Below are 14,487 nucleotides of genomic sequence, written 5' to 3' on the forward strand. Positions count from 1 at the left end.
CAACAGGTGTACAAGGCAGCCCCTTCCAAGGCCCTGCCTAGGGCTGACAGGGATGTAGATTGGCCCAAGGCTACCAGATCCTTCAATATTTCAAAAGCACCAAGTATTCTAAGTCCCCAGTTTTGGGAGGAAGGTGGGTGGGGAAGACATCTACATGCCAAATCTGACTTGTGTGTGGAAGGAATGAATGAAACTAACAGTCGAGGGTCTCATGTGCATTAGGCACTGTGGAAGTCCATTTGTGCAACATCGTGTTTCCAAAGTGGTTGCAAAAATATCCCCGACCTCACATGCTCTTTTGTGAGGAGACTCCTCTGCCATGGCATATCAAGAGGTAGAGTCCATTTGTCCTCCTCTGGAATCCTTGGGGCAGGCCCTCACACCCGTTATGAGCAATAGACTATGATGGACGTAGAATTGGGTAACTTCTGAGGCTGGGCCTTGGGAGAGATGCAGCTTCTGTCTTTCGCTCTTGGAACATCCCTCAGTGCCATGTTATGAGGAAGCACAAGCAGCCACGTGGAGAGGCAAGGAGGAGAAGCCAGGCTCCCACGTGACAGCTCCAGCTGAGCTCCCAGCTGGCAGCCAGAGCCAACCGCCAGCCAAGTGACCCAGGACATTTGGACTTTCCAACTTTCCCAAGGCCTCCACTGGCACCATGTGGTGCAAACCCAGTCAATTGACAAAACCACAAAACATCATAATTATGAACTTAAATAATAATTTTAAAAATATCATTTTCTTATCAATTCTATGGAAATAGAGACTCAGAAACGGGAAGTAGCTTTCTTCAGATCATAGTTTTGAAACAGTACAGCTTCAGACTTCTAGCCAGGATGCACTTGGGACACTTGTTTGCCAACAGCAAATGGTAGAAAGGAGCAATAGAAAGGCAGACCTATTATTGCTTTAGCAAAATCACCAAAATGTATTTCAGATACTGGGTATGTATTGAATCTTTCTGAGCTAGAACAGTAATGTGAGCATGAGAGACACAGTCTGCATGCGATGCAATTGGGGAGGCGGGGGACTGTGGCAAACAGGAGAGAGCTGCCCCTTCTAGAAAGCCAACCACTACCAAGGCCCTGCCCAGGGCTGCCAGGGCTGTAGGTTGGCCTAAGGCTACCAGATCCTTCAATATTTCAAAAGCACCAAGTATTCTAAGTCCCCAGTTAGTCTGAATTGAGAGGAAGGGGGTTGGGGAAGACATCTACATGCCAAATCTGACCCAAAGAACCTCACTTTTTTACTTTCTTTCAAGAGAACCATCCCAGTTTAGGGCCCCAACAGGGAAAACGAACCCATCTGTCTTTGTTCTCGTAGAACAAAAGCAATTTTTGTTTCACTATAAACTCCATAAATGGTTGCAAAATGTTCCAATTTTTTTCCATAGTTAAGATAATTCACTGGGGACTCCTGGCCCATCTTCCGCCTCCCAGTGGGCTTTTGCTCCTCTTCTCTTTGCTTTTGTCATCGCTGCTTCCCAGGGGAGGGCGGTCGGAGAAAGTCTGTGTTGAGAGGCAGGCGGCTTCTCTTTTCCCAGGCCTGGTCGGCCACGGGCAGATGCACCCGGTTCCAGTCCCACCTGGAGCTTGGGCTGGCTCTGCCTGCCAGGCCTCTGAGACAGTCTGGAGGGGTGTCATTCTCTGCCCCCAAGGGATCTGAGGGTGCCATCCCAGGCCACAGTGAGAGAGCAGAAAACATCCCACGGAATGACTTTACTCACCAGGTCCAGGCCCCAAGGCAGAGACCTCCCCAGGGAGACAGAGGCAGGCTTACAGCAGCTACAGAGGCCCTCAGAGAGGCCTCGTCCCTATTGTCCTGACTTTATGGCCATCCTCAAGTTGGCCTTTGTTTCTCTGTGTTCTGCCCTTTTGCACAATGAGAAAAGCCTTGCCAGCTTCTCTCTGCCTAGGGCTGCAGCTGGCATGGCTTTTGAGGGCTCTGCCCAGGGTCTCACCTCCATTCACTCATTCAGCACTTGATGGGACCCCCCAATGTCGTAGCTGCCCCCAACTGAGGCTCAGAGAGTGTGTGCGACTTGCTCAAGATCATGTGGTTAGAGAACAAGCTAGACCCAGTGATTCCATTGTTATTTATATTTTTTATGCAGCAGTTTTTTTTTTTTTTAAGGTAATAACACCCATGTTCAGCATGGAAAAGTCTTCTTCCTTACCCCGATTCCCACGTGCCCAGTTCTTCTCCCCAGGGGCGGCCACTCTTACTGACCTCTTGTGTGTTATTTAGTTTTTTTTTTTTTTTTTTTTTTTTTGACACGGAGTCTCGTACGTCGCCCAGGCTGGAGTGCAGTGGCACAATCTCGGCTCACTGCAAGCTCCGCCTCCCGGGTTCATGCCATTCTCCAGCCTCAGCCTCCTGAGTAGCTGGGACTACAGGCACCTGCCACCACGCCTAGCTAATTTTTTGTTTTTAGTAGAGACGGGGTTTCACCATGTTAGCCAGGATGGTCTCGATCTCCTGACCTCGTGATGTGCCCGCCTCAGCCTCCCAAAGTGCTGGGATTACAGGCGTGAGCCACCGCGCCCAGCCTTGTGTGTTATTAAAAACAATAAAATTACATGAAGTGGGAAGGGACATGATTAGCCAGGCTCCAGGGTCACTTGGCTAATGATCATGGTTCCTTGGCAGGAGCCAGGCACACATGTAGGGGCACTGGTGGTGGCCACACAGAGCCTTCTCCAGGTGCTGCCATGGACTGGGCTGGACCTAGGAGTCGGGAGCCTGGCACAGTCCACTCAGCTTTGTAGGACATGCACTTCTCTTTCACTAGATGAGCCAGGAGATTCCAGGCATGGGGGCCCATCCAAATTATGTGGGTGCTTTTCAAAATTCAGATTCCTGGGCATCACCCCAGGCCAATGGAATCAGAATGTATTTGAGAGGGCCCAGGAATCTGTCACCTTAAGCCTCCCTAATACAATATCCTTTAGCACACACATAAAATTACGCTAAGTTTTGTGCGTAAAGGAATGTATGTACCAGGAAACTTACTGCTGTCTTGTTTGACTTAGTGTATGTATTAGTCCATTCTCATGCTGCTGATAAAGACATACCTGAAAATGGGTAAATTATAAAGAAAAAGAGGTTTAATGAACTCACAGTTCCATATGGCTGGGGAAGCCTCACAATCATGGAGGAAGGCGAAAGGCACGTCTTAATGGCAGCAGTCAAGAGACAGAATGAGAGAGAGAGACAAGTGAAAGGGGTTTCCCCTTAAAAAACCATCAGATCTCGTGAGACTTATTCACTACCATGAGAATAGTATGGGGGAAATTGCCCTCATGATTCAATTATCTCCCACCAGGTCCCTGCTACAACATGGTGGAATTATGGGAGCTACAATTCAAGATGAGATTTGGGTTCGGACACAGCCAAACCGTATCAGCATAGGATTGGAAAGTCCATCCACGTCCATCAGTGAGAGACCAATGCTGAGCAAAGGAATACTGTGCAGCATTAAGAAGAAACCAGTTGGATCTTCATGTTCTGATATATTGATATATACAACTAAGATGCACTGATAAATGAGAACAGGCAACAGAAGGCGTGTACAGTGGCTGTCCGTGCTTGCACTGAATGCATTCCCCTACACATACATGGATTGTCCCCTTGACAGTAAGAAAGAAACAGTGGCTGCTTCTGGGGAAGACACTGGGGGACTACTTACTGAATGCTATTTGGTACAGCTGGAAAGTTCTACAGTGTGCATGCAAAAGAAAACTGTTCTCACGTTCGTGTCTAAAAAGCTCCCGGGTGAATCCGGTGCGCATCCAGGCTTGGTAACTACTAGGTGAGACGATTCATTGCCACCCTCCCTCGCCCTAGGATCTTTCAACTCTAAAGCTCAGGTCCTGGGATTAGTGAACAAACATATGTGTTAGTAGTGGGTAAACTGTAGGGGCCACCAGAAGTGAAGTGTCACCAATCAGTGATTCAGTCTGGAAAGGTAACAGTGATGGGAATAAGTGCTGTGGTCATTGTGTACATTTCATTGTGTACATTTCATAAATCCTAGCCCCTGGCCAGTGGAAACCAAGCCAGGGCTGTATTTGACTCCTTGCAACCGTTGGCCGCCCCTGCTTTTTCAGGAGAAGGAAGGGGGTGTATAATGTGACACATCAGCAAGTCAGAACAGAGAGTACCTGTGGAATGGGTCCTGCCAGGCCTCTGTGCCCTTTTACACATGATGTCTTCAAGCTTCCGGTTAGTGACTGCTAACTCTCAACTCAGCCAGCATTGAACCGGGCACCTTCATGGGCACTGATCCTCTGAATCTCACACCACCATATCATCCCCATTGTACAGACAGGAAAACTGAGGCTCAGGGGTCACGTCACTCACTTTTTACCTAGATCCTTCTGACTACAGAGCCCGCCTGCATCCCACTATATGAATGACCTGAGTGGGCTCTGCGGCAGTGGGGCCTGTTGCCCTGGGGTCCTGTGTTTCCAGCACTCTTTGCCAACTTCACCTGTCTCAGAGCCCTCAGGGATCCAGCACCATGGGGTTTACTTTCCCAGGTTCTCTCTGCCCCAAGTTCAGTCACTCCAGCCCAGTGTGGGGGCAGAGATGTGGCAGAATGAGGGCACCTTATGGCCCCTTGATTCGGAGGGACTCAGTGTGCGACCTTGGCAAGCACCTGATCCTCCTTGGGCCTCGGTTTTTCCGCGAATGCGACGGGAATAAGAACAGTGTCTGCTGCAGGGGTCTCATGGGGTATCTAGTGGAAGGTGCACTGCATTTGCTGGCACTGAGCTTGGTGCTGAGTAAAGGCTTCATGGATGTTTGCAGTAATTCCTGAAATTAATGTTCAGGTTGTAAGTTTGCTGTAACACCAGTTAACCCTTCACTCTTTACCCCTAGCTGGTAGAATAGTGCCTGGTACATAGTAGGTGCTTAGTAAATATTTTTTGCTGAATGAACAAATGAACCATTGACCTGCTGACTGGAGCTACTGCTGACATACTGGGTGACTTTGGGCTGGTCCAGTCCTCTCACCGAGCTTCAGTTTCTGCATCTCCCAGTGGGTGGGACCGTTTTGCCAGGCCTCAACCCACCTAGCCCATTTCTCTTCTGCAGCAGCCTTCAGGGATCCATGAGCAGCTCACAGAAAGTTGCCCTTCTGTTTCCCTGATTATTAACCTGCAAATTAGACAAATCCATTTTGGAGTGTTCAGCGTTGCCATGGTATCACAACGGCTTCCGCTCCCTCTCCCAGGCAGCAGAGAAGTCTCTTCCTCTTCCCTGCCCCCTACATCCACCCCGCCCGGGAGGCAGCCCATTGGCCTTAAAGGGCCAGTTCTGTAAGCTCCAGAGAAAGATGCTTGCTGAAATCACAGAATGGATGTTGCCTCCTGGCAAGGCGTTCATTTGGTCACCCTTTGGGGAGGCAAATTGTAGCTAGGAGCTGTGGAGTCAGGGTTCCCCAAGGAAGTGGAGGCTCTCCCCAATTGCAAGTAGTGACTAGCCCTACATTTGGAAGGCTGAACCTCATGCTACCTGTCCCATCCTCATAACAAGATGACCCCAGAAACAGGCCTGGTGGGAAATGGAGTGAGCTCCAAATGGGCCCATTGACCAGAGGAACCTGGTTCAGCAAAAAGCCAGAGCATCACAGACATTAGGCCACTCCTGTGGGGCATCACTTAACGTTGTTTAAAACTCCAGATTTAAATTAAGTCACGGTTGCCCTCAGAGGCCACTGCCGTGGGCCTTGGGGACAGAAGTTCTTAAAGGCACTGCCATGGTAAGAGGGAAGGGCCAAAACTTTGTATAAGTAACAAAGGTTCTGGCAAAGGTTAATAAATAATCATTGAATGCCAGGTATCGGCATTACGGAATTAAACCGTCTTAATTGGCATTGTCTCTGCTAGGAGAGACCCTGACATATGTATGTTTTCAAAGTGTGGTGTCTGTTCATCTTCTGTCTCTAAACAGACAAAAGCTCCCTGAGGGCATGGTTGGCTTCTCTTAATTCAGTGTCATCTGCACTCTGCCACAGCACTAAGCACCTGGCTGCCCAGTCACTCTGGGTTCATCGACTCTTAGAGAACGCCATGGGAAGAGTATAGGCTTACCAGTCCGACAGACTGGGTGGAAACTGCGGTAAAGAAAACTTAGGTTCTGTCTGTTAATAGCTGTGCCTTAAGCAAGGTATAAGTGAGGGTTCAATGAGGGAAGAGGCCACTAGAATGAGTGGAATAAGGGACTTGTTATTGGAATTTGACCTTTCACAGTGTGGGAGAAGGAAGGTCTGGATTACAGAGTGGATGGTCCGAGGGGACAAGGGCCAGTCGATCTGGAAGCCACGTGGGGAAGTTGAAGGAGGAGAATCCAGGAAGCTTCTGCCACTGAGCATCTGGGCTGGACACAGGGCAGAAGGAGGCAAAGGCCCATGGAAACCCACTGGCGTCTCTGCAACCTGCTGCCACCACATCCAATGAGGCTGGCCTGAGAGTGAAGGCTGCTGCTCCCCCACCTCTGGATTCTCATGCCTCTTTTGGCCAGCTCAGACCCAGAGCTGTACTGGGGAATGGGATTCTGAACAACACAGCTCCAACCTGTCCACATCAACACAGCACAGACCAACATGGCCAAGTGTTAGGCCCTTCTGAGCCTCGGTTTCCTCGACCCAGCCGATACCTTGCTAATTTATTTGAGTTCATTGTAGATTCTGGATAAATCCAGCATCCCTTTATGATTAAAACTCTCACCAAAATCTGTATACAAGGGACATACCTTAATGTAATAAAAACCATCTAACCCATAGCCAACATAATACTGAATGGGGGAAAGCTGAAAGCATTCCATCTGAGAACTGGAACAAGACAAGGATGTCCACTCTCACCACTTCTATTCAACATAGTAGTGGAAGTCCCAGCCAAAGCAATCAGACAAGAGAAAGAAATAAAGGGCATCCAAACTGGTAAAGACAAAGTCAAACTGTCACTGTGTGCTGATGATATGACTGTATAGCTAGAAAACCCTCAAGACTCCTCCAGAAAGCTCCTAGAACTGATAAAATAATTCAGCAAAGTTTTAGGACACAAAATTAAAGTACACAAATCAGTGGCTCTCCTGTGCACCAACAGTGGTTACTCTGAAAATTAAATCAAGAACACAACTCCTTTTACAATAGCTGCAATAAATAAATAAATAAATAAATAAATAAATAAATAAAACACTTAGAAATATACCTAACCAAGGAGGTGAAAGACCTCTAGAAAAAAATCTACAAAACACTGCTGAAAAAAATCACAGATGACATCCCATGCTCATGGATGGGTAGGATCAATATTGTGAAAACAACCATACTGCCAAAAGCAATCTACAAATTCAATGCAATTCCCGTCAAAATACCACCTTCATTCTTCACAGAACTGGAAAACATTTCTAAAACTCTTTTATTTTCTTTTTTTGAGACAAGTCTTGCTCTGTTGCCTGGGCTGGAGTACAGTGGCACCATCACGGCTCACTGCAACCATGATCCACCTGCCTCAGCCTCCTAAGTAGTTGGGACCACAGGCATGAGCTCCCACACTTAGCTAATTTTTGTATTTTTTTGTAGAGACAGGGTTTCACCATGCTGCCCAGGCTAGTCTCCAACTCCTGAGCTTAAGTGATCCGCCCACCTCAGCCTCCCAAAGTGCTGGGATTATAGGTGTGAGCCACCACACCTGGCTGGAATCTTCTAGTTTTTCAAGAGAAGCCAGAAATTTAGACTTTGCTGTGGTGTTCTGATTTTTAAATGTTAGAAACCAATATTGCACTTCTGTGGTGGCTGCAGAAATGCTGTGGGTGTTGTATAGTGCTTTTTACCATCTATCCTACGCCTGGAAGGAGTGCCACCCTCTGAGGCATCTTCCCTAGCTGTCTCCCTGGGCCTTCCAGAGACCCAGGAAAGTGCTGGCCTCCTTGCCAGTGTCCAGGGCTCGCCTGAGCCTTGAGCATCCTTGGGCAGCTCAGCACATGGGCAGCACAGAGGTACTGCCTGGCTGTAGGTGGTAGGCTCTTGGTAGCAGATGCCAGCATCTCCCAAACATCGTAACTTCCCTTGACCCACTTATTTCACCAGCAACTCAAACCTGCTGGAGAGAGAGAGGGGCCTTGCAGTGAGTTTAAACCCAGCTGGCTGTGTCCAGGAAGGGCAAGCCACCATACCAGTCCCAGGGAGACTGCCAATGCTATCCCTCATGTCCCCCCTTTCTTCCCATGCCTTAGCACAGCGATGGAGACTCCCCAGGAATCTGTCTCTTCCCCTTCCACCTGCTCCAGGCCCCATCTCCCCCATACCTCCAAGGGCGTCAGCATCCATCCACACACTCACAAAGTCTTCTTGCAGGCCTGCTATGTACAGGGAACTTAGGAAAGGGTGGAGGCAGTGTCTGCCCTCCTGCAGCTCCAAGTCTCAAACCAAATAATCACAGACATTTAAGTGTTTAGGTGAGAACATTGCCAAGCATTACAGAGGAAAAGAACCGTACGTCATGGAGAGTAAACCAGGGCATCTGACCTAGTCCAGGGGAGAAGGGGGTTGTGAGGGCAGCTGTTGGAACTTAGCCTTAGGGACTAGTTTTAGATAGGGGGCCCTGCAGTCCGATTAGCAGAACGGAAGGCCACCCTGACTGCTGTGTGACAGCATGTTGGAGGGTGGTGGGTGTACAATGGTGAGTCGGGGAAGTGTTAAGAGGCTGACAGTCATCTAGGGGGAGAGGGTGGGTGCTGGAACGACGGGGTGGCAGAGACGTGGGCAGACTCAGACTGTGTTTAGGAGGAGTTGGTGACAGTCTGGTTAGTAAGTAAGCAGCTGCCAGGGGGCTGCCCATGTCCATGGTTTGTGTGCCATGGGGTGGCTGGTGGTGCCTCTGCTGAAGTGGGGAATGCTGCAGGGGAAGCAGCTATTGAGGGGGTGCTGTGGTGGGCAGGGGTGCATCTGAGCCAGCACAGATGGCATCCGCATCTCCCAGACACTTTTCCATGGGCAGCATTCTCTGCCTGGAAAGCCATTCTCAGCTTTCTGGACAAGGACCTGTTCATGCTCCAAGGTCTGGGTCAGTTTCCCCCTCCTCTGGGCTACACAGAGGAGTATTCCTCTGTGTATTGCTGGTGGGAGCCCACACCTCGCTTTGCTTGCAATCTGAACCACACTAGGCTGGAAGGAGCATTGCCACTGGGAGGGAAGGAGATGGTAAGGCTTACGGCAGCCTCAGGGGCAGTCACCTTGGCTTCTGGGAACAGGAGGGTAGGAAGTGTGTGTGAGAAAGAGTGTGTGAGCTTGAGAGTGTGTGAGTGTGAAACTGTAAGTGATTGAGAGTATTGTGAGTGGGAGAGAGTGTGAGAGTTTTTGAAAGAGTGTGTAAGAGCACATATAAGTGTGAGTGTGTGCATGTGTGTGTTTGCCTGAGAGAGGAGGAGGCAAGGGCAGGAAGGTTTGGAGATGGAAGGCTGGTCTTGCCATGCCCACCCTTCCTGGGAGGGCAGCGTCTGCTGTGGTGGTCAGGGCCCTGGGCTCTGAGACAGGGCTGCCTGCCTTTGAGTCTGAGTCCTCCACAGCTCTGTGACTTCAGGCAAGCAATATTACCTCTTTGAGCCTAAGGTACTCATCTGTAATGGGGTTATAAGAGCATTTGTCCCATTGGGCTAATGCAAGAAGTGAATAAGATAATGATTATAAAATACTTAGCCAGGACCTGGCATAGAAAAGCACTCAAACATAATGAACGTTTGGCTCCAACCTCCCTGTGCTCTAGGGATGCTGTCTTGGCCACCACACCTGGTCTTTTCTCCTGGTTATTCCTGTGCACAGAGCCACGTGCTCATGCACTCCCTGGTAGCACTCAGCAAGATGACCACCTTACATTTATTTGTGTGTTTGTCTAGTGCCTTTGTCTGTTTAGTGTCGCTATAACAAAATATCGGAGGCTGGATAATTTATAAAGAAAACAAGTTTACTTGGCTAATGATTCTGGTGGCTGGGAAGTCCAAGAGCATGGCACTGGTATATACTCCACTTCCAGTGAGGGCCTCATGCTGGGTCACAAGGTGGTGGAGAAGCAGAAAGGTAAGAAGGCATGTGCAAAAAGACATGCATGAGAGTCTGCGCTCACTTAAAAAAAACCCTCTTTTTTGGGAACTAATTCATTCCCACAAGAGTCAGAATTCCCTCCTGAGAGACGGCATTAATCTATTCATGACAGTGGTGTCCCATGACCCAGATACCTCCCACTAGGGCCCCTCTCCCAACACTGCCATATTGGGGATCAGATTTCAACATGAGTTTCAGAAGGGACACACTCAAACCATAGCATGTGGTTAAAGTCATCCTCTCCAGGAGCTCCAAAAGGGCTGAGCTGGGTTCCTGCTTTGCTCACCATTTTCTCCTGGCCTCTGGCCTCAGCTGGCACATAGTGGGTGTACAACAAGCATTTCTCAAATTGAATCAACCAACGCAGGTAAAACAGTAGTTTCTTCCTTCCCTTCTCCTTCCCTCCTTCTTTCCTCTTTTTCTGACCCCACCCCCAGCCCACTCTCAGGGCTGATCCTCATGCTGGGCCTGTGCTGGGCTCACCACCCTCTCTTGGTGCAACGAAGCTGAAAGCCAGAACCTACAAGAGAAGTGAAATGGCCAAGACAGGTCTGAGGCCCCCCCTGAGACTGTGTGCTATGGTTACTGTCTGCCAAATCACTGGTGCTTCTTTATTTAACTGATGGCTGCTGTCACTTTTCACACCTCTGCGCACACTTGAGAAATTACCCTTTTCTTTCTTTTTTTTTAATCCCAAAGCTCATTATTATTTTTTATTACTTTTAAGATCTCATTCTTTGTTTTAAGCCTCCTAAATGAACCTGCCAATTTATATTCCGCTATAATGGCAGAATTTTCTAATTTGTTTGTCATTGTTGAACTTTAGCCTGCTAGATTTTATCAGAAGGTAGCAGTTTGTCTGGAGAAACTTTGAAATTGTCAAAGAATTTGTTCCTTCTTGTGAGTCCTGCCAAATAAAACAAATGCAGGAAAACCTGGCTGCCTCTTAGAGAGCCCTAAACATCCCACTGCTATCTGAAAGATTGATATTCATCCTCTGAAATAAAGTCGTTTCTTTCCCATTATCTTCAGGAGCTTCAGCTAAGGATGCTAATATGGAAAACAAGGAGAGGTAAGCGGTTTGATTTTCCCCCCTTTCTCTCTTCAGGAAATTGCTTTCTTATGCAAGAGAAATGCAAGTTCACCCACAGTGGATCAGTCATATGATAAGAAATCTGTTTGCAAGACAGGGAAGCTCATTTCCCTGTTGAGAAGCTGCATTTGTTTGAGGGAGACAAGGAGAGAGAAAGCATTTTTGCTGGGCACAGGGAAGGGATTAAGGCATCATGACAAGCACATTGCTTAGAAATGAGCCCAATTAAAAAAACATGAACCCATCTGACCCTCATGTGAAAACCCAGGGCTGTCACCGTCCACTCCTTGATTTGAGAGACCAGCACAATTATTCTGGAGATCATTAAGATTCTGGGGGAATGAGTTTTCTGGTTTTGCTTGTGATTTCCATTTTTCTCATTACTGACAGAAGCTGCATTTATGGATCTTTCTGTTTAAAACAGGAGCTTCTCGGGCTGGTTTTATTTTGAATCGGCCTCCCCAAAAGGCATAATGTCAAAAGCTTAAATGGGCTCATCTGGGCTGAATGTGTGAGAACCCCGGCCCCTCCCACCCCCACCAACTTTTTTTTAAAATTTTTTTTTTTCTTGCCTTTGGAGATGGGATTCACGGGCGTGGGCAGGCAATTAGATTTTAAAGCGGGAGAACTCCGTTGCACTTGCCAGGAACTGCTGAAGCAAGCAGGAGAGCCCGTGGGCTTTGAATCCTGGCACGGAGGCAGGCGCTCCCGGCCCAGCTCTCGTAGGATGGGTGAGAGGAGTGTGTTTGTCTTTGTTCTGAAAAGGGAAATTTAATTTCATTCCCTGAGCACTATCTGCATGGCGATTCCATAGCTAGGCGATACTGGCTTTCAAAAGCCTGGGCCATTGCCTAGTTTGGGAAATGTCAAGAGTTGGCATGGTCCAGCAGAGGGTCAGCTTCCAGTGGCAGGCCAGTGCCCAGGCTTCATGCTCAGCCTTCATCTGTGGCCCCGTTCCCAGGAGGGCTGCTATCTCTCTAAAGATCGAAGGACTTTGTGTCCCCAAGCCAGCCTTCTCACATGCTGCCGGCTGAGTCACGAGGTTGGGGGCTGACGTCTGATTTCAAAGCCACTGAGAAAGAAATGCCAACACTCGTTCAAGAAGCTGGCTGGTGCTGTGCCTAGAACTCTGGACTGGAAGCCGCCTGGAGATGGATCCGGACTTGGAGGAGCCCGTTTATGGGACCCCAGACCATGCTGCTGCTCTCACGGAGCTTATCTTCTCACAGCGGCGGGTGGTAGGGGAAGTACATGATGAAATGAACAGAAAGATATTGGGTAATGATAAGGGATGTGATGAAAATGAGACTGAGTGATGTGAGAGATCAGAGGGCTTCTCGGAGGAGGTGACATTTGAGGTGAGACCTGATGAGAAAGAGCCAGCCATGCAGAAATCTGAGGGAAGAGCATCCCACACAGAGAGAACAGCAACTACAACCCCACTGAGCAGAAAGCCAGCTTGGCATGTCTTTGGAACAGTGAGGAAGCCAAAGTGGTTCCAGCGTGATGAGCGAGGGGGAGAAGATGCCATGAGATGAAGTCAGAGTGATAGGCACTATCGTAGGAAGGAGTTTGACTGAGATGCTAAATATTTTGCAGAATTTTTGGAAGCAGGGGAGAGACAGCTGACCTGATTTGTATTTTAAGAGGATCACTCTGCTTTGTGCATGGAGAATCCATTGAAGGGAGCACAAGACAGGAAGCAGGGTTGATCATCAGAGCTACTGTGGCAAATGGGCAAATGAAGCCATTTTTATCTTCCTGTGACAAGGCAACTTGTCACCAAAGGGACAGGACATCCTTCTTCAAGTCAACATTTCTAGGGTTTTGCTTATTCTGAATATGGTGGAGGCTATGGTGGTTTACTTGAAGGTATGGTTTACTAACCAGATCCCAGAAACTCACCTGTGTGTAAGAGTCTGATTTCTCGAGCATTCGCAGCCCTGCAATAGCAAGTCAGTGAGAATGGCCTTGAGCACAGCGTCTAATCAGAGCAGGCCCCCACTGGAGTACCAAAAAGGCTGTGAGGGGCACCTGTGACAGTTTGTGGTGAACAACTGTGCAGCAAGACAAAGTAATACAATCCACGTCCGATTTTTAAGATGCATTCCAGACCAAAGGTCAGGTGCCTCGCTGTCTATAGAAATCAACATACAGCTAATATGTTACATATTGATGTCCTATGTATTTCGTAGCAGTCCAAAGTGATCAGTAGCTACATAGTATAAAAGGGAGACAAGTTGTGCCCATTTTATTGCACGTGGTGTTGTATACTATACAAACTTCTTAAATTCTTTCTGATTTCTAATCTTTTACAAGCTGAAAAAAATTAAAATATCAACAAGGTTAAATATGAGAAGAAGCAAAAAAATGCAGAAAAATTTATTTGAGAAGATTTGACAGTTCTTTCAATTGTTATGCTGGCAGGGGCAGGAGGATGCAGAGAAAAAGTCTAAAGAAGAATAAAAGAGCGTTGACTGAGGAGCAGGAGAGTTTGCAGAAAAGACTAGATGAGAATGAAGACTAAGTGACTTCGAGGGGCTTGGGGAGGGGCTGCTTGAAGATGTCAATGTGGGAGATGCTTCCTGTTGGTGAGAACCAGCAGAGGTGTGAGACCCTCACTGTGCCCAGTGCCAAGCCCCCACATTGGAAAAACAATAGAAGGAATGCAAAAAGGATCCACAGTCCTGGGAGACCGAGCTAACAGGCCCTGTTTCATCTTGGACCATGTGATGCGGAGGTTCCTGTTTCAGGTGCTGACTTCCTAATGAGGCCCTGCGTGGAGAGGTGGCCCCGGGATGCTATCTATCACACAGTGATAAACAAGGCAGCGACTGTTTCCTGTCCTTTTCTGCGACTGAATCCAGTCTCATCCGTCCTCCTAGGTGACGACCCATAGTCAACATCCTGCTTTTCCCATTCACGGCTGAAGGATAATGATGCCGGTTTTCATTGTGCTTTCGGACCTTGGGACATGAAGGGATAGGCTTTCTTTCCTGCCAGAGATAGGGAAAGGGTGGATGGGAGGGCTTTCCAACAAATGCTTCACCTTCCTCCAGTTGCATAGGAGTGGGGAGAGCCGAGGGAAATGCAGAGAGGCAGCCCTGGGGCTCCTGAAACCAGGCCAAGAGGTGCATTCAATCAAGGACTGACATTTGCCCATTGACCTCTTATCGGAGTTGCTAAGTCACTGGGGCCTTTGTGCTGCAGAATTGGAAAGGAAGGGTTCACCCAGCCCGGCCAATCCTGTGCCAGCTCTCTGCCCAGGAGCTGGCCATTAGCATTTACC

At 48.4% G+C, this 14,487-nt stretch overlaps 1 annotated feature.

The window, feature by feature from the left end:
• Positions 10,912-11,508: an enhancer, noted in NCBI's record as "OCT4-NANOG hESC enhancer chr5:173097006-173097602 (GRCh37/hg19 assembly coordinates)". NCBI's record gives its function as "activates a minimal SCP1, AML or CMV promoter by ChIP-STARR-seq in primed H9 embryonic stem cells {active_cell/tissue: H9 hESC(primed)}" and the evidence as "EXISTENCE:reporter gene assay evidence [ECO:0000049][PMID:30033119]".

Source organism: Homo sapiens, chromosome 5, assembly GCF_000001405.40.
Source record: "Homo sapiens chromosome 5, GRCh38.p14 Primary Assembly".
Lineage (NCBI taxonomy): Eukaryota > Metazoa > Chordata > Mammalia > Primates > Hominidae > Homo > Homo sapiens.